Raw genomic sequence first — 21,161 nt, 5'->3', positions numbered from 1 at the left:
TCTAACATTATGCCAGCCTTTCGTTTTTAGGATAAAACCCACTTGGTGATGATATGTCACCTTTTAAAACATCATTGGATTTTACTGGATAATTTTTAAAAATTTTGCAGCTGTATTCTCCTTACAGCACTTAGAGCTTGCCATTATTTTGTTTATTTTTCCTGTTTTTCTTTTGAACAGAATGTAAGCTTCCTGAGTACAGGTGCTGGCCATACAACATATGTTTTGTTTATTATTTTTATCCCCAACACCCAGCTCAGGGCTGGCACATAGCAGATGCCCAGTAAATATTTTGTTGTTGAAAGTAATGTCAAAAGATGATACTTGAAAAGTCCTGGGCCCTCATTATGAAGAGTCTCATGTGCCAAGCTAAGGAATTTGGAGTGTATCCTGGAGAACCTGGGGAGTGACCCAAGAATTTTGAGTAAGGAGTGACACTCTAGTGATGGGAAACAGATTAAAAGTGAGTTCGTCTGATGACTGGGAGATCATTCTCCTAATTATCAAATAAATCCAGTGGAGAGAAGGCGAAGACTTCAACTAAAGCAGTGGCCATAGGATGGAGAAGAAAGAGCAATGAGTGCTATTTAGAAGGAAGGGTGGATACCACATGAGGGACTGCATGTGAAGGGGTGAGAGGAGGATGTTAATGAACTGTGGATTAACTAGGAAACACAGGTGGAGGGGTGTGGGTGGGAAATTGTCAGGACTTGGGTTGGAGGACTCTGGGGTAGCCAAGCAGAGAGTCCCAGAAGGCATCTGAGCATGTGGGTTTGGAGAGCTTAGCTCTGCAAGTATGGCTTTGGACCCTTCAGATATAGGTGGTCATTGAGGCAGGTGAGTGTTGAGAATCCGTTTTCTATAGCACTCTGCACTTGCCTCTGCCCTGGTACTGACCACGCCTTATATTCCTGACCACCTCCTCAACTTTGAGGACAGAGGCCAAGAATCCTTAGCCTCACCCCTGTGTCTGATCACTAGTGAGGGCTCTGTAAATATTTGTTGAAGGGTTTGAATTGTGACTCTGACATTTACTGATTCTGACTAGATGTATTGCTTAATCTATGAGCATTTCAGTTTTCTCATCTGTAAAATGAAGAAAATGTTCACTCCATAAATTTGTCATAAGTATTAGATGAGATAAAGAACATTTGGTACCTCACTAAGTGTTAGTTCCTTTCCATATTATTGATTTGAATCTAAATAAGTCATTTAGAGTAAAGGAACTATACATGAAATCCTTTTTCTTTTTTTAAGATCCCAGTAAGGAAGATCTTGGGTCCCTATTGAGGCCTCATTTCTTCATGCTTTTAAAATTTCCTTTGATTATTATTTACTTTGCATTTAGGCTTAAGTGCTATGCTTAAAATATCAAATGGGCAATTGTTCTTCACTCTACTCTAGAGAGATGAAATCTATTATGAAAACTCTATATTATAGTTGTTGGCCAAAGCAGTTAAACATAAATCTGATAAAGCCACAGGTCCATTTCACAGTTTTCCTTTGAATCATCAGATTAAAAAACCGAAAAATTAAGTGTTCTCTTTAACATCAAATCTAGTAAGATTTAATATTAAAGACATGTAATGGGGGCTTTAGTTTTGAAAATCTGGTTTGATTTGAACGCTAATTAGCCTGATTACTTGCCTGGCTTAGGAACTATATTTTAGTTATTTTCCCAGGTTTCTATTTTATCCCCCTTTTTTAGTGACTATGGTTCCTGTTCTAGTAATATTAAACATTTTTGAGAAGGAATTTTAACTGGTCAGTAATTTTGGTTAGAAAAATGCTATATGAGTGCTTTCTTTTAAATTGCTAAGGGCAGAGAATGAAAACTACCTGTGTGTGGGAGTGATATGATTTGGATCTGTGTCTGCACCAAATCTCATGCCAAATTGTAATCCCCATTGTTGGAGGTGGAGCCTGGTGGGAGGTGATTGGATCATGGGGGTGGTTTCTCATGAATGATTTAGCAACATCCCCTTTGGTACTGTCCTCACAATAGTGAGTGGGTTCTCATGAGATCTAGTTGTTTAAAAGTATGTAGCACCTCCCTCCTGTCTCTTGCTCCTGCTCCTGCCATGTAAGACATGCCAGCTCCCCCTTTGCCTTCTGCCATGATTGTAAGTTCCCTGAGACCTCCCCAGAAGCAAAGCAGATGCCCACATCTTGCTTCCTGTATAGTCTACAGAACTGTGAGCCAATTAAATCTATTTTCTTTATAAATTACCCAGTCTCAGGCATTTCTTTATAGCAGTGAGAGAACAAACTAATACATAAAAATGGTACAGAGGAGTGGGATATTGCTATAAAGATATCTGAAAATGTGGAAGCAGCTTTGGAACTGGGTAATGGGCAGAGGTTAGAAGGATGTGGAGGGCTCAGAAGAAGACAGGAAGATGAGAGAAGGTTTGAAACTCCCTAGAGATGTGTTGAATCGTTGTGACCTAAATGCTGATAATGATATGGACAGAGATGGCCAAGCTGAGGAGGTCTCAGATGGAAATGAAGAACTTATTGGGAATGGGAATAAAGGTCACTTTTGTTATGCATTAGCAAATAACATGGCTGCATTGTGCTCCTGCCCTAGGGATCTATGGATCTTAGAAACTGAGACTGATGATTTAGAGTATCTAGTGGAAGAAATTTCTAAGCAGCAAAGCATTCAAGATGTGGCCTGGCTACTTCTGACAGTCAATGCTCATGTGTGTGAACAAAGAAATGACCTGAAGTTGGAACTTATATTTAAAGGGGAAGCAGAGTGTAAAAGTTTGGAAAATGTGCAACCTGACCATGTAGTAGAAAAGAAAAGCCCATTTTCTGGGGAGGAATTCAAGCAGGCTGGAGACATTTGCATAAGTAAAAAGGAGCCAAGTGCTGATAACCAAAACACTGGGGAAAAAGGTCTTGAAGGCATTTCAGAGACCTTCACAACAATCCCTATCATCACAGCCCCAGAGGCCTAAGAGGAATGAATGTTTTGTGGGCCAGGCCCAAGGCCCCACTGCCTTGCATGGCATTGGGACACTGCTCCCTGCATCCCAGCTGCTCCAGCTCTAGCTGTGACTCAAATGAGCCCTAGTAAAGCTTGGGCTGCTGCTACAGAGGGTGCAAGCCATAAGCCTTGGCAGCTTCCACATGATATTAAGCCTGTGGGTGCACAAAGTGCAAGAGTTGAGGCTTGGGAGCCTCCACCTAAATTTCAGAAGATGTATGGAAATGCCTGGATGGGCAAGTAGAAGCCTGCTGCAAGGGTGGAGCCCTCATGGAGAACATCTACCTAAGACAGTGTAGAGGGGAAATGTGGGGTTGGAGCCCCCACACAGAGTCCCCACTGGGGCACTGCCTAGTGGAGCTGTGAGAAGAGAGCCACCATCATCTAGACCCTAGAATGGTAGACCCACCAGCAGCTTGCACCCTCAGCCTGCAAAAGCTGCAGGCATTCAACACCAGCCCATGAGAGCAGTTACGGTGGCTGAACCCTGCAAAGCCACAGAAGCATAATTGCCCAAAGCTTTTGGGCACACCAGTGTGCCCTGGATGTGAGATATGGAGTCAAAGGAGATTATTTTGGAGCCTTAAGATTTAATGACTTCCCTGCTGGGTTTTTGACTTCTGTGGGGCTTATAGCTCCTTTCTTTTGGCTGATGTTTCCTTTTTGGAATGGGAATGTTTACCCAGTGCTTGTATCCCCATTGTATCTTAGAGGTAACTAACTTGTTTTTGATTTTACAGGCTCATAGGCAGAAGGGACTAGCCTTGTCTCAGATGAGACTTTGGACTTTGGACTTTTGAGTTAATGGTGAAATGAGCTAAGACTTTGGGGAACTCTGGGAAGGCATGATTATAGTTTTCAATATAAGAAGGATGTGAGATTTTGGGGTCAGAGGTGTAATCATATGGTTTGTATCTGTTTCCCCACCAAATCTCATGTTGAATTGTAATCCCCAATGTTGGAGGTGGGGCCTGATGAGAGGTGATTGGATCATGGGGGCAGATTTCTCATGACTGGTTTAGCACAATCCCCCTTGGTACTGTCCTCGCAATAGTGAGTGAGTTCTCATGAGATCTGGTCATATAAAAGTGAGTAGTATCTTTCTGCACTCTATCTCTTGCTCCTTCTCTGGCCATGTGAAGTACTGCTCCCCCTTTGCCTTCCACCATGATTCTAACTTTGCTTGCTAAGGTCTCCTCAGAAGCCAAGCAGATGCCAGCATCATGCTTCCTGTACAGCCTGCAGAACTATGAGCCAATTAAATCTCTTTTCTTTATATATTACCCAGTCTCAGGTATTTCTTTATAGCAATGCAAGAGCAGACTAATACAGGGAATATTCATTTTCTAGCCAATAATAACCAATTTAGTTGCTAAACTAATAATTTAACATTTTGCTATCAAGGAGATGTTGAAATTGTGGTTATTGTTAACTTATGTGGAATGTTAAGAAGCTCTGAATAGTGGAAAAGGAACCAAGAGTTGAGAAGCTTGGGTTTAAGGTTTGGTGCTAACTCACTTTGTTGCTGCTGGCAAGATCCATAATTTTGTAGGGCTTTAGTTTTCTCATATGGAAAATGAGTTTGGACTAAGTTTTCTGCTTGCTTTAAGACTCCTGTGATTCTAAGTCTGTAAATATGAAATGAATAATGCTGTAATTTGTCTATTATGGGGGTTGGGGATGTTAAATGAATTCATTCCCCCAAATGAATGAATCCAGTTTATGGCTTTATTATAAGTTTCCTGAGGCATAAACAGTGTCACAGGTGCACAGGGTACTGCACAACTGAGTGAAGAAAGTTCAGATTGTCATAGACTGTAGGTGAGTGATGGCCATAGGCTTTGCAACGGGATTCCCACCCAGATTGCTTTAAATGATGATCCAAAATCCATTCTAAATGAGAAGCTTTTCAGGAAAATATTGAAGGATAGTGGCACAGCCTGTCATCTGGATTTCCATCTCCACTCTGCCACTTACAGTACCTGATGATCACAGTCTCTGCAGCCCTTCCCCGCCTATAAGACACAGTAGCCTGATTCCACAACCAGTGCTGTGCCTGATTCCCAAGGAAGCTTTACTGGGACAGAGGATGTTACACGGATTCCCTTATGTCTCTAGAACTTTCTATGAGGGTGTAAAAAGTCACAAAAGTTTTATAAATTTAAAACAAAGAATAACATGTGGAGGCAGAAATGCAAACAAACAGAAGCTATGATAGAGGTATGGACAGTGGGGGCTCAAGGAAGAATATGACTCAATTCTACCTGGGGTGGCAGAGTGGGGCTGGGGACAGCATTCCATCATCACCAATTGTATAGAGAAGTTGCTTGAGCTGAGTTTTGAAAGATGAGTAGATTTTGACTGATACAAAATCAATCAAAAAATTGATGACTTCTTTGGATTTTCTGATGGGTTTTTGACTCCATATAGATGGAAAAGAAAAGGTCCAAGACTGTATTTTCATAATCTCTACCCAGTGTCTTATAGCCCACTACCCTGACTCTCCATATCAGACCCTGCCTACCGTGCTGCTGTCAAATTTGATTTTAACTACATATCTCAGAGCTCTCCATTGCCCTAAGAATCACAACCAAAAATATACTGATTTACTTTCTTTCATTTACATGTGCTTTTAGGTAATATGGTTCCTTTAATAGAGCTAATGAGAGATGAGTAATTATATTTCACTTAAAAATCTACTTAATGTTTTCATATAGGTAGATATTATATTTAGTATGTATTACAGGTGGATGTTTTAATGACTCATATTGCTATTTAAAATTAATAAATTTTAAAAACAGAAGCCAAGACTATTTTTAGGCTACAGTCTCAGTGTTCCAGAAATTTATACATTTTTCAAAGATATTAATAGCTATTTATATAGTTAATTTGGCAATGACTTATTAAAGAAATATACTTCTGTTCTTGGGTCATCCTGAAAGCACCTATTTTAATTACAGCATTAACCTTCAGACACATTTTCCTCTCATTTATAATTAATAATTATATAGTAGAGTAAAATCTATAATCTTGGGAGCAAAGCCAAGTAAAATGAAAATGAAATGCCCTCATTTTACTTAAATCTTCCTAAGTCAGGAGCCTTGTTGGTTTGAGACAGGGGGATTGTGCCAATGGGCAGGTGCAGCCTCCTGTCTGTACTTATGGCACTTATTGAAGTGTTCCAGCTGGGTGCGGTGGCTCACACCTGTAAACCTGTAATCCCAGCACTTTGGGAGGCTGAGGTAAGCAGATTATCTGAGGTCAGGAGTTCAAGACCAGCCTGGCCAACATGGCAAAACCCCATCTCTATCCAAAATACAGAAATTAGCAAGGCCTGGTGGTGTGTGCCTGGTCCCAGCTAGTCAGGAGGCTGAGGCAAGAGAGTTGCTTGAACCCAGGAGGTGGAGGTTGCAGTGAGCCAAGATTGTGACCACTGCACTCCAGCCTGGGTGACAGAGAGAGATTCTGTCTCAAAAAAAAAAAAAGAAAAGAAAAGAAAAGAAAAGAAGAAAGAAAGTAAGTGTTTCTTACTTTCAATAAGATTTTTGCTGTTGTTTTTGTTAGAATATGTTTTATTTCATGTCTGAGGATGAAATTACTGAAAAGACCTAATTCCTAATTTAGGGATATACAAATACAGATATCAAATTGCATTAATATTAACATTCTGAATGTTTTCAGATACTTTTACATAGTACACAAATATTATTTTATAGTAAATTCATTCAAAATAGGTTCCGGCCACCTAAAAGAAATTTAAAAGAAACATTCTTTATTTAGAGTATTTAAAGCACTTTATTTAGAGTGCTTTCTAATGATAGACTCCAGGCACAGGCATTTAAAAAAATATGGATAAAATCTAAAGGTGCAGGTTTATCTCGTCATGTAACTGAGCCTCAGTTTAGTCTTTCATAAACTGGGGATTAAAATATCCATCTTAAAGTGTTGTCATGAGGATTAAATGAGCTCTTGAATGTGAAGCCATCATTTTAGTATGTGACACAGCAAGGGCATAAGAAATTGTAAATGTTACTGATTAATATTTTATTATTTTTTAAACTGAATTTACTACTCTATTTTTTTTTCTAGAGAAAGTTTTTGCCCACTCTCCCCCCACCTTTCCTGTTTCCCTCATGGTTAGCTAATACCTGATGTTCCTTCTTAGCCTTTGGTAAAATTGTGAATTTGACAAAGGTAGAGTTAGTCTCCTTTTCCAGCACATCTCAACCCTCGCCTAGCTCTGCCCCAATAGCTCTCATCCAGCACCCCCAGCTGGTCATGGCCAGCTTCCACCACATCGCCTCCAGAGGTGTAGCAGATATTGATTTAAGTGGCTCCATTAGGGCTGTTCAGAGTAGGCGAAATGAACAGGGCTAGGCCTCCTGAGATCTTGGTTCTTAACCAGTTTGTTGATTGCCTGTCTTTGACTGAGTTAATGCACTGCTCTTGGACTCCAAATCCAGTATCTGTGGGGTGTTTTTGTGTAGATCAGATTATAATGTAAGTACAGACACTTTTGGGAAAGGCTGTACAGACAGTAGTTTTATGAAACCTACTCGTCTTTCAAAACTCAACTCAAAGAATGCCCCGATCCCCGCTCTCCCATCCCAGGCGGAACTGGGTCATTTTCTTCCTTGGGCCCCCACTGTCCATACCTCTATCAAAGCTTCTATTTGTTTGCATTTCTGCCTCCACATATTAGATATTCTTTGTTTTAGATTTACAAAACTTTTGTGATTTTTACACCCTAGAACACAAGGAACCAACCATGAGTCATATTTCAAAATTTGTATTGCTAATTGATATGCTACTGTGTGTCATGTTCTGCTATGTTTCCAATAATCTCAAATTGTTCTTTTTTTCTGTTAAAACATTGAGGAAAAACATTTTCCTGTTAAAACATTGTTTTCTGTTAAAACATTGAGGAGATGTAGTAATTTCAGGACTGGGCCCAAGATCATGTTCTCTGAAGCTCTGAATACCCGCTGCCTAACACAGTATCTGATATTCAGCAGGGGCTTAACAATAGTTGAATAAATAATTGAAAGAAAATTATTTAATAGGGGACTCAGGAAGATTAAGAACCTTCAAGCTGTAAATGAATCTCTAATGGTAAAGATTCAGATTCCATGATGGTAGGTGAGGAAATAATTTCAGATCTGCTGGCATTCCATAAATCACACCGTGTAAGTCAATTTGGTCACTGACTATTGTTTAAGTGCTTCTCTGCACAATAAAGCATAAAATTTTTTCAGTATAGTTATTGATTCCAACATAGACAAGAACTCTGAAAAGCACCCCTTGTCATCATTATTCTATGATTGCAAGTCTCCTTTTTAAAAGATAGCAAAAAAAAAATGTTGCTGTTATAGAATTCTTTCTTAGATATAGTCATCCCTCTGTGTATGTGGGGGATTGGTTCCAGAACCCCCACATATACCAAAATCTGAGTTTACTCAAGAACCACCAACCCATATATACAAAAAGTCAGCCCCTCCATATACATGGGTTTCAAATCCCACGAATACTGTATTTTCTATTTGTGTTTAGTTGAAAAAAATCCACATGTAAGTGGACCTCCACAGCTTAAAGTGGTATTGTTCAAGGGTCAACTCTGCCTGTTTTAACTATAGTGAACTTTGGTTTGTTATGACTTGTTATCATGAATTTATCCTATATATGAATTCAAATGAATCAAGCTCTTCCTGTGACTCCCCACCCCCATTTGTCCTATATTAAATAACACGGGTTCCAATCTTCTTTAAATTTTCATGATCTGGCTTCATAATAAAGCTTTATAGTTGGTTCTTACCAGTTGTATCACCCTGGGGAAGGAGAAAGAATTGGATGTTCATTTTGCACATTATTTTAACCTCGGCTAATGGAAACTTTCTCTAACTTCCTGTGTAGGTCAGCAATTTAAAGTTGGATTATCCATAGAAATCATATTTCATTGTAGGTTCATCCTAGAGGTTCTAAACTAGGAAAGGAATGGACTGGGGGGGTCTCAGGTGAGGGTGTGTGAGGACCCCTGCTGCTGCTTCTCTGGAGGTTAAGGGGATTTATTACACTCAGTCCTAAATGTTTCAAGTGCAGAAAGAACTGTGTAAGTCCTAAATGTTAGCGGTGGAGGACATCTTAGGCATGAAATACTCTTTCTTATTGCCAATAAAGAAATTAAAGCTTTTGGTTGTTTCCTTTCTTTGCGTTCAGAGAGTAGTCTGTCTGTGGGAACTGTTTGGAGAATCTTGTTTTCCACATTGTGATCTCTGATTAAATCTTATTCACCATAGATACGATTTATATATCACAAATTTCCTTTCCTTCACATAAGAGATGCTTGTCTAGGCAGAGTATGCAGAAGTCTCATACTAACCTCCCACGGATGTCAGCCCTCCCTCCAGGGCGCTCACTCTCAGTGCTCTCTCTTCACCTCTGACTAGTTTATCACACTTATCATGTGTCTCCTGGCATTTGGTTGAGTAGAATTCTATCTCCCTTATTAGCTAAGTGTCTCTGCTGAGGAGTCATTGCTCACTTGTGTGTCCTACTCACAGGTAAGGTGTATTAAGGTGTATTACCAGTAAGTGCGAAGTCTTCCAGTTTGCCTGATTCCTACTTTTTTTTTTTTTTTTGTAACACATAAGAATGAATTCAAGGTTATCCCTATAACAATGTCGCTGTCATTCCCTTGCATTGATTGCATTGGGAATGGCCCTGAGTGTGCCCATGGGAGTGTATTAGGAATAGGAATGTCATCTGTCATGTGTTGCACGGAAGAAGTAAAAAAAAAAAAAAGGTTGAAAAGCACAGTATTAGAGAATAAACTCTTTGATAAAAATGTCTGTGTCTAACTCATTTTGTTACCCACACAGGGCCTAGCATTATGCCTCACACATAGTAGGGGCTCAATAAATGGTTTCAGAATGAACTAATGAATGCAATCCAATAGGTAAATACATTCCAGAGACATTATTCTGAAGAAGCAAAAGAAAAAAAATACTGCATTTTGGGTTTGTTTTAGCACCATGTTTCAAAAAAGTGAATTTTCTTCAGGTAAAAGACTTTCTATAGGTAGAAATTGAGTTGCACATTGCTTACCGACAGCCCGTACCACTGTCCAGACCCATTAGACACAAGGGTCACTTTCATAATCCACCATTGCAACATGCCTTATGTTTTTCTGCCTAGGTTTCTGCCTGGTTCTGGTAAATTGTCATCACAAGTTATTACCCTTAAGTCTAACATATTCTGAAGGAATAGGTGGCTGATACTCTCATTTGAGGACTAAGAAATATTTGTCTAGACATATGATCCGATCTGTATTTTTATTTAATGTGTAATTGGTGAGAAAATAGGAAAGACAAATTTAAATGCTTGCATCTCTAACCTTGTCACAGTGTCTGAGCATTCATTCATCATCATTATCTTGGATTCCTGCAGCCAGCAGACTTCATAGGAAAGCAAGCACTGAAACAGATTAAAGCCAAGGGGCTGAAACGAAGACTGGTCTGCCTCACCTTGGCAACGGATGATGTTGATCCAGAGGGAAATGAAAGCATCTGGTACAATGGCAAGGTGAGTGCTGAGGACCTCACTGCCAGGGGCTGTGGCATCTTCTGCAACAGAAACTCCCCTTGTTCCTATTTCCTCTTAAACCCTTTTGCTATTAATTATTTGTTGGAGGGATGACACGCTTTTGATTTCTGAGCTGACATTCAAAAGACAGAACGCAATTGACTGAAAGGAAAATGCAATGTTGCTCATTTTTGAAAACATAAAATTCTATATATTCTGTTTAAAGAAAACAAACCCAAAGACTTGAAACACACTGGACAATGAGAAGGATATGATTTAGAGGGTAAATGATCTATTTGCTCACCACATCCATGTCTGTAAATGCAAAAGATGGATTTTATAAAAAATTTGGCATTCTGATTTAACTTTTTATGGATCTTTCAGAAGGAGGCAATTAGCATATTAACAGAGAAAAAATCCAGATGAAAACATTTATGACAATAGAGGGTAAAACCTTAGAAAATAAAGTGAAAAGTGGAAACCATTTGGTTCTTCAGGAAGAGTAAAATCACCTTCTCATTTTGGAATGTTACTTTTTATTCTTTCTATTTGTGTTCAGTAAAACCAGAGTTAGTCAGATAATGTATCAATGGGACTTTATTTTCTCCATTTTTTCTCCCAAGCTTTCTGCATTCAGTTACTTTCTCCATTTTTTTATTACTATTTGTAAAACCCAATTTTGTTGAAACTGAGTGTGGGTGTGTTTTTCCTGGTGTTAGCAGGCATATGTGGGACACCCAGCTTAGACCATGGGGAGGGAATGGAGCCTTCAAAGCTCATCTAAGCAGCTGTTCCACAATGAACAGGGTCAGCTTGGTCATTACCCAAGACTCAGAGCTTCTGTGCCTGGGTTTTTTTCGTATTCACTGCAGCCTACTTGATATTTGTTTCCATTTTCTCTATCTCATCAGTAACACAAAGAGTGCTAGAAGTGGAGAAAGCCAGTGGTGTCAAATCACAGCCTTTGGGGCTAAAGCATGGGTCAATTTGACAAAGAACTAACATCTACTGAGTTCTTACTGTATACCAGATATTTTTCATGTGCTCTCCCATTTAACTTTGCAGCACACCTGTCAGATATATATGATCATTTCCATTTTAAAGATGAGGCTTTGAGGGGCTCAGAAGTAACTTGCTTGAGGTTACGTGGCCAGTGATTGATAGAACTGATCTCCAACCCAGGTCTAGTTTCCAACTTTGAATTTCTGGTCCTTTCTTCTAAGACATGTTGAACACTTCAATTTGATCTCTTTTCTGTCTCTGTTGATGTCCCCCTGTAGTTTCTTAAGAATTTATTTTATTTTTATTTATTTATTTATTTATTTTGAGACAGAGCCTTACTCTGTTGCCCAAGCTGGAGTGCAGTGGCGTGATCTCAGCTCACTGCAACCTCCGCTTCCCGGGTTCAAGTGATTCTCCTGCCTCAGCCTCCCCAGTAGCTGGGTTTACAGGTGCGTGCCACCATGCTTGGCTAATTTTTGTATTTTTAGTAGAGATGGGGTTTCTCCACGTTGCCCAGGCTGGTGTTGATCACCAGCCAGGTGATACACCCACCTTGGCCTCCCGAAGTGCTGGGATTACAGGAATAAGCCACTGCCCCTGGCCTTAAGAATTTAATTCTATGCCCACATTCTTGTGCATCTGAGTATCAGGTGGATGTTATTAGAGCCTGTGAAGCCAACTGACTTTTCTCAGATCTCAAGTGCCTTCGCCTGTCTGTAAGCCTGGATGGGCTGACCTCCACTTCCTTCTTAAATTGGGCTGAGTTTGCTCTTCTGTTTGAACTGTTGCTACCTTTCTCCCTATCTCTTCTTTCTCTTTCTGTTCTGTATCTCTGGTTCAGCCCTCTTTTCTCAATATGTATTCTTCCTCCAATTCATATTTGCCCACAATTCACATGATTTATACTTATAACCAGCTCTGCCATTAATTAACTATTTGACCTGATCCTGAGCTGATCTCTGGGCCTCAGCTTTCTCATCTGTAAAATGAAGCCATTGGATGAGATAACGTCTTCTTGTCACTACATTTCCTCCCACCTCATCTTCCCTTTGTTTTATATTTTTCACTCTATTCCCATTCAGTTTTCTCAGTACTTCTTAATACAGTCTACACTTACCCTTCCACCAACCTTCTGTTTTACTCAGCATGGAATGAAAGAGATATTATGCTATATTATTCTGTATTCCCACGTCATCCACAATCAACTGATTTTTAGCCACCTTAAATATGATGATAACAAAATTAGTTTTAAAACCCTGAAAACCCAAGGTCTAATCTAAAGGTTTTTTCCTTTGCCCTATGCATATACTGCATTTACATGCTATATTCCTTGCCATCTGCTTATAAAGCTGCTAATCCAATTATAGGATTCTATCTCTTAGATTTCCTAATATGAGTTTGCCTGCTCTTTGATGCTTAGTAAGGTCATCATTTTACATACAGATAGTCTTCTTTTTGATCCTTTTTCAGAGGCCCTCCTTGGATCCTCTTTACTCTGGACTGATATGAAATAATTTTTGCTTTTTCTTTTCAGACTTTGTCTTGACTTGTGTTGCTTTTGGTATTTAGTATTTTATTCTTGCAAGCATTTCCAATGCTGGAGATAGGGTACAAATGTATTTGTTTATTGACTTTTTTGTGTGTGTGTGTGTCTACCATATGCCAGCGATATTCTAGGCACTGGGAATACAGCAGTGAACAAAACACAAGAATCTCTGACCTCATGGAGTTTACATTCCAGAGGAGGGAGAGACAGACAATGGACAAAATAAATAAAGTATATTGCATGTCAGATGGTCTTTAGTGCCTTGGGGAAAGGTCAAGTCCAACAGGGAGCTGGGCAGTGCTGGAGAAAGGGATTATAACCTTAAATGAGGTTTAATTTTTTTGAAATCAAGGCATAAAGATGGTCATGAGAAAGGCTTTCTTTATATTCGGTGGCTCAGTTATTAAAAGATGCTTAGCTTGGAAGGAAGTTTTGAAAAAGAGGTTTGTGGAGAGGTTTGGAGAGCTTAGAAGGTTTTTTAAAATTATTATTTGTAAACTAAAACACACGGGGACAGTCAAAGAAAAACACAATAGAACATCAAACTTAAATTATGTTAACTTCCTTCAAAGGCCATTTGCCATGTTATCTTCTGGAAGTCAGATAGAGACTTCTCATAATTTGCGAGAGAAATGAGAAAAGGCTAAAAATAAATGAGAATTATTCACATTGGTAAAAAGAAGGTCAATGTTTGTTTTAACAAAGAATGAGAATTTGCCAGGCAGAGGGTGGGGACAGATTGTTCTCACAGTTCACTGAACTAAAAGGCAGAATGGATCTAATTGAACCTGGAAGATTTTAGGTAGAACTATTTAAAATTTATGCAAGGGAAAACATTTCCCTGGAGATTTAGTAATAAGGTAAAAGGAAAAGCCAGATTTCTGAAATATCCTGGGCTTCTAAACCTGGATTAGAGAGAAATTCAAGTAGAAATGAAAGTAAATTCTAGCAGAAAGCAAGGCAAATTTTAAAAATAGCACTCATAAATAAGGACTCTATTTTTTTAGGTTACTAATGCAGAATGACTGCAAGACAAATCACTGCTGGGATGTTAGGAGATGAGAAGGGCTGAGGATTGTGTGCTTTTGACCCAGTGAGTCAGGGGATCACACCCTGAGACTGGCCTAGGTCTCTTCCTGTTTTCTGAAGATGCTCAAGCAAACCAGCTTAACTCTTCCAGGGCTCCAAACCCAAATCTCTTTCTTACAGATGGGGAAATGAAAACAAGGTTATCAAGAAAGTCTTTCAAAAAGCAATGATTAAGCCAGGCATGCTAGCTCATACCTGTAATCCCAGCACTTTGGGAGGCCAAGGCGGGCTGATCACTTGAGTTCAGGAGTTCGAGACCAGCCTGGCCAACATGGTGAAACCCCGTCTCTACTAAAAATACAAAAATTGGCCAGGCATGGTGGTGTACACCTGTAGTCCCAGCTACTCAGGAGGCTGAGGCAAGAGAATAGCTTGAACCTGGAAGGCAGATGTTGCAGAGAGCCAAGATTGCGCCTCTGCACTCCAGCTGGGGCAACAGAGCAAGACTCCATCTCAAAAAACAAGCAAACAAAAGCAATGATTAGGTGCAGCCGCAGAGCTGCTTCCAGGGCTACATGGCTGAGGGGGACGCAGGGAGTAACCAAAGGCAGGATGAGGAAATTGAAGCAATGGTAGCCATTGATGGCGAGGAATGGTGTGTCATTGATGACTGTGCCAAAATATTTTGTATTAGAATTAGCTACGATATAGATGACCCCAAATGGACACTTTGCTTGCAAGTGATGCTGCCAAATGAGGACCCAGGTACAGCTCCACCTGTCTATCAGTTGAATGCTCATTGGCTTAAAGGGCAAGAACTTGTCCATTTATTGAATAGCCTGAGGAAATATATATGTGGCCACCCCATCTGGTTCGGTGAGAGTACCTGCTTTGTGTCCCTGGGATCCAGGCTAAGTTTCTTTTCCTCCCAAAATATTTAATGAGAAAATGACAGAATATTGGTGAAAGTATTCTTTACCTGTGAGTGGAGAAAATAAGAGATGTTCCAATACAAAAACCTCAGATGACAGAACCAGGCCCAGAGGCAAAGAAAGAAACTGAAGAGGAAGATGTTGAATGTGAAGATGATCTCATTTTTGCATGTCAGCCAGAAAGTTCGGTGACAGCACTGGATTTTGATATCAGTGAAAATCAAAGAGAAATAGAATTATCTCTGATTGATCATGGCATTTCTGTTACAGACCGAATAAGTACTTTTCAGGCAGACTTTGATCCAGTAGTTTGTCCCAAACAGGTGAAAATGGTTCTTTCCAACTTGTATGAGAATAAGAAAATAGCTAGTACCACCCACAGCATCTATGCCTACAGAGTATATTGTGAGAATAAACAGACCTTCTTACAGGATTGTGAGGATGATGGGGAAAGAGCAGCTGGTGGGCATCTTCTTCATCTCATGGAGATTTTAAATGTGAGGAATATCATGGTGGTGGTATCACGCTGGTATGGAGGGATTCTGTAGGACCAGATCACTTTAAACATAACTGTGCCAGAAACATACTAGTGGAGAAGAACAACACACATTCACCTGAAAATCATCTAAGGCTTTGGAAAAAAAACAAAAAATGTTCATCACTGAGTAATGGAGTAAGTGAAAATCCAGGAGTATCCACTTGCAGTTATGGGCTGAGGTGACAATTCTTCCAACATATTTGTTAGCGTAAATATTATGCCTCCATTTCTGTTGCAAATTGGTGATTGTGAAATTTCCAAAAGTGATTTTCTAGTCTCTGCTTCTTTAATTCTTATAATATAAAGCAATAAATATGGAGTGTCAGTAGTCTTACTCCACACCAGAAAAAAAAAAAAAAAGCAATGATTAAAATTCTAACCTCTCTGACCCTAATCCCTGCCTGTATCACTGAACTATGATCTAAAGGAGAAAAGCAATTTTAAAGCATGTGTTATACCTTGGCAGTTATTAATCAGCCAGAGATAAACTTTTACTAATGAATGTATTCACATTTTATTTTTCACAGTCAAAAAGTTTTCTTTTTTCACGGTCAACCAGTTTTCACAGTAAGTTTAGAAATCATATGGAGAACAGCCGGGCGTGGTGGCTCATGCCTGTAATCCCAGCACTTTGGGAGGCCAAGGCAGGCTGATCACGAGGTCAGGAGTTCGAGACCATCCTGGCTAACACGGTGAAACCCCGCCTCTACTAAAAAAATACAAAAAAATTAGCCGGGCGTGGTGGTGGGTGCCTGTAGTCCCAGCCACTCGGGAGGCTGGGGCAGGAGAATGGCATGAACCTGGGAGGCGGAGCTTGCAGTGAGCTGAGATGGAGCCACTGCACTCCAGCCTGGGTGACACAGAGAGACTCTGTCTCAAACAAAAGAAAAAAAAGAGAGAGAGAAATCATATGGAGAGCTTCTGATTTGGGGTTTCAAAGAGAGAATTAAAAACTGGGACTACAGAGATAGGAGTCTGCAATTAAAGTCATGAATGTGTTAGCATCTAAAATACTAGAAGTGCTATAGTAAGATTGTTGTTTGTAATGTGCTCTTTGCTGAGGCAGCTGAATGATCACCAGGCTGATTTCCATCCATGAATGTCTTGAGCTCCAGCTGTAAGCAGTCCACTGTGCCAGACGGTAGGACTTTAAGGATTAGTGCAATGTTGTGTGGCCAGGAGAAGCCATTTTGAGCAGGGCTATATATCGTGTTTTACTTTTGTTGTCTTCCTTTTATTTTTGTTCCATGTAATGTTTTGATGTAATGTAATGTTTCTGTATTTTCTGCTTTTCCTTCTTTTTCATTCTTTCCTTTAGACCTGATTTCCAGTAACCTTTTTATCTTTTAATCAAGCTTGTTATATAGACTTTTTTTTCGAGACAGTCTCACTCTGTCATCCAGGCTGGAGTGCAGTGGCCAGATCTCAGCTCACTGCAACCTCCACCTCCCGGGTTCAAGCAATTCTCATGCTTCAGCCTTCTGATTAGCTGAGAGTATAGGCGCCCGCCATCATGCCCAGCTAATTTTTGTATTTTTAGTAGAGACGGGGTTTCACCATTTTGGCCAGGCTGTTCTTGAACTCCTGACCTCAAATGATCCGCCTGCCTCAGCCTCCCCAAGTGCTGGGATTACAGGCACGAGCCACCACTCCTGGCCTAAACCAAGTATTACTATTTTAAAAATGAGAAATTTCAGAGTAATACAGATGTGTACCTTGATAATTACTTTTCATAATTTGTAAACTTTCATTCATCTTCTCAAAATGTGAAGTTTTCCTCCTGTGTCTCTGGCGTTGTCCCCCCAGACAGCACTTCATAAAACTTCCATTTTGTAAGTTGAATCTGTATTTTAGTTTTTTTTCACCCAGAGATGAGGAGCACAGAGCTGTGACCAAGATGCTGAGGACTGTTGGGTCTTGTTTTCCAGGTGGTTGGCAACACGACATCTGGAAGCTATAGCTACAGCATCCAGAAGAGTCTGGCTTTCGCATATGTCCCTGTACAACTAAGTGAAGTGGGACAGCAAGTGGAAGTTGAACTATTAGGCAAAAATTACCCAGCAGTCATCATACAAGAACCTTTGGTATTGACCGAACCAACCAGAAACCGGCTTCAGAAAAAAGGTGGAAAGGACAAAACTTGAAAAAAGACCTTCAGCAGTCAACTGAATTAGAGTTGCTAATGACTGTCCTTGAAATTATTATAACTGGCTCCCAGGGGAATAGAGGAAACCAGGAATTCATTTCAAAATCATCAAAGTCTAAATTTAGAATCTTAATGAAACCTTTCTGTTAAGTGTTTTCTAAGCAAGACAGAATAATAGATAAATGATTTACATTGTTCTTTTAAATGAAGAAATTTGAAATGAATGTTTTTTTATTTACCCCACATTACCCAATCAGTAAAACATTTAGGTGTTTGCTAATATACACAATCATTACTATAACCTAATTAAGGGACATTTTATAATTTTAGTAACAAATGCATTCGGTTCTTGACAGCTGAAAACAAATTAATAAATTATCTTTTACATAAAAACATGTACAATATTGTTTATGGATTTACTTCTTTGAGAAATCTTTCCTTAGATGAATAAATGAAAGTTTTAATTTTTCATGATATATCTGTGATGAAAATAGTAAAACTTAACATTGACATATAGCCAACATTTTAATTCAATTCTGTGAAATATTTATCATTTTCTTAATGACTTCCCTGAAAGGAGCTTTATAGGACATTATTATTGTCCTTTCAAAGGTTGTTTTAGAAGAGAAATTGCAAGAAAGAACAGAGTCTTCCAAAGGAAGAGGTACTTGTAAACTTTCAGAAATGAAGCTGACACATAAATAGATTGTGCCAGTATAAACACAGTTTGAATACTGAACACCTCTCTTTGGGAAAGAATTAATGCAAGTTGACATCACATGGTGCTGTTCTGAATATCATTTCACAAAGCATTTGACAAAGCAGGTCAAACAAAAGCTTAAGAGCTGACAGGTTTTCCTTAGCGCTACGTACAGCAAGAAAAAAATCAATTTAGAAATAATTCTTTGATATACTTTTTGAAATTATTTGGGTGTAGTTGATGGAATAAATAAATTTTTTTTGTAAAGGGTGGTTTCTCATTTATAATTAATTTATACATACATACATTTGTTACACATTTATAGAAGTTTTCTTAAGTATTCAAAAAACAGAATGTGAAGCATGATAAGATTCTGTCATTTGAATAAACTTTAAAATGATTTCTTAATGTGTAAGTTTTGAAAAGGTGCCAATTTTACATTTTAAATGTTTTATAACAGTAGTTACATATTAGAACTCTTCACATGTTCATTTCTCTTTGGCATATCCTCTTAGATGAGAAAAGAAGGAAATCCCTTTGGTAACAAACTAATTTCCTAATTATTGGGAATATTATCTAGGTTCTTTAATCCAGTTCATGTTAGTGCTGGGAATTTGGGATATCCGCTTTTTTGACTGGGAATTGGGATATCTGCTTCTCATTCTCTGCCTTTCTATAACCCCATGACTTTAGGATAGTTACATACCATCTCTGGGTTCCTCCTCTGTGAAATAGGTCTAGACTCTTTTTTGGATACTATATTATCAAGAAGCAATAATGAAAGTATAACATTAAATTCATATCATATAGTTAATATAGCGCTAAAACTAATGAATAAAAGAATAGACTATTCAGATGAATGTTAAAGTTTTAAAGAAATCCTACCCACAATATAAAAGACGTCTACTCTGATTTCCTTAAGAAGTTGCCCTCATTCTCTCTTTTGTTGTATGTTAGGTGCTATTAGGTTTTGTAGGTTACCCCAGCACCCCCACTCATACCCAGCCAGTCATCCTGGCCTCAGCACCGGGGTTGGCATCAGCCAATTCATGGGCTGACAATGACCTTCAACACAACTTGGCCATGGAGAATTGAGATGAGTTAACCAGATTTCTTCCATGGGAATTTGGATTGTGAACTATCAGAGGAAAAACTGGTTAGTACTAAAAGCTGAAGCTGAAAAGATGGATAGAAATAGAAGCCATAAAGCCAAGGGGGCAATGAGAGCTCCCAATAAGGAGGGAGACATTGAGAGAGAATGAAAGACCAGTTCCCAAAGCTCTCAGCTCCTGATGGTTTGCTGGCCAGTTCTTGGGTGAGAACCTTAACTTAAAAGGGTCCAACTAAAACCACTAGCTTCTGAAAAGTGGAACATACACAGAGAGAGGCCTCAAAGGAATGGGTCCAGGGAGGCCTCAAAGGAATGGGTCCAGGGTTAGCGTCAGACATGAACAGCAAACAGCCAGCATACTTGAAAACACTCTGGTGATGTGCAGAAGTCCGTATCTACAGCTCAGAAAAACATTCTCAAGAATGTGATGATGAATGATAGGCACTTTCTTCCCTTGAGTGAAGAAAGCTTTTTAGAATTGCAAAAACAGTTTCTAGTTAACACATTACCAAAACATGAATGTGTGGTGTTATGTTGCTAATGTTCACATCCTAACTAATCTGTGTCTTTCTTCTTTTCTACTGATAAGGAAGGATAACAGAAAAAAACATTTTAAAGTATACCATGTGGGACATTAAATAGCAGACAGATGAGATTCTGGAATTTTACTGAGAAGATTTTGTGCATATTTTACTTGAACAAAAGGAAAGGTTGATATTATCAGGAAACACAGCAGTTGTGAAAGGAAGAAAGTTTTGGCTATGCAAACAGCATTCTTTAGCCAAAGTCCCAGGAAAGCAGAGCACCAAATATCAAATTAATTATATCCTTCTTCAGATGAATCTTCATATAAAAAATATAAATTATTGTCCTATTTTTATTTATCCCCCTGCCACTAATGAATTAGAATAGTAGTAGTGTATTTAGTTTGTTTTCTGCTGCTATAACAAAATGCCTGGGTCTGGATAATTTATAAAGGAAAGAGCTTTATTTAGCTCATGGTTCTGGAGGCTGGGAAGTTCAAGACCTGGTGGTTGCATCTGATGAGGGCCTTGTGCTGCTTCATAGCATGGCAGAAAAGCAGAAGAGGTGAGAGGGCATGCTTGTGAGAGAGAAAAGGGGGCTGAAATCCTGCAATAGCTAACCCATTCCTGAGAGAAAGGTAATAATGAGAAAGGCCATGACCTAGATACCTCTTACTAGGCCCCACCTCCCAACACTGCCACACTGAGGAATGAAGTCTCCAACAAATGAAGTTGTGGGGAAAAATTCAAACCATAACATGTATGGAAAGCTGCATTATGAATGATAAAAGGGTAATACATTATTTAATTGTATTTTCTCCAGGAAAAGATTTTGGAAATATTAGCATGCCATGAAGCACAGAGGTGGTGGGGTGGGTGATACAAAAGCTACTGGGCTAAAAAATCACAAGACCTGCTTTTCCCAGGTCTGCCACCAACCAAGCACAGTCTACATAACATCTACTAATGCCTCTCCTGTATTTTAAGTTCTATGAGTAATTGCTTTTCTTAGTATTCATTAGTCTACACATGTTTGTGGAGTACTTACTATAGGCTAGGC

General features: G+C 39.2%; 1 protein-coding gene and 1 pseudogene across 1 annotated transcript in view, besides 1 other annotated feature; both read left to right on the top strand.

Annotated features, from left to right (window-relative positions):
- DMGDH (dimethylglycine dehydrogenase) overlaps positions 1–18,282 on the top strand; it is a 72,111-nt gene extending 53,829 nt beyond the window's left edge. Inside the window, exons 15-16 of the mRNA NM_013391.3 lie at positions 10,439–10,573; positions 17,549–18,282. Coding sequence (NP_037523.2) covers positions 10,439–10,573; positions 17,549–17,764 — 351 coding nt within the window. The 3' untranslated portion in view covers positions 17,765–18,282. The remainder of the gene's footprint in view (positions 1–10,438; positions 10,574–17,548) is intronic.
- On the top strand, positions 14,698–15,734 carry LOC100505796 (IMPACT pseudogene; annotated as a pseudogene).
- Positions 16,760–17,959: an enhancer, noted in NCBI's record as "BRD4-independent group 4 enhancer chr5:78293710-78294909 (GRCh37/hg19 assembly coordinates)". NCBI's record gives its function as "activates an origin of replication core promoter dependent on BRD2, P300/CBP, MED14 and CDK7 cofactors, and independent of BRD4, by STARR-seq in HCT116 cells {active_cell/tissue: HCT116}" and the evidence as "EXISTENCE:reporter gene assay evidence [ECO:0000049][PMID:35650434]".

This window comes from Homo sapiens, chromosome 5 (genome assembly GCF_000001405.40).
Source record: "Homo sapiens chromosome 5, GRCh38.p14 Primary Assembly".
Lineage (NCBI taxonomy): Eukaryota > Metazoa > Chordata > Mammalia > Primates > Hominidae > Homo > Homo sapiens.
Note: the sequence above shows the minus strand (reverse complement) of the source record. Positions and strands in the feature narration are given on the sequence as shown.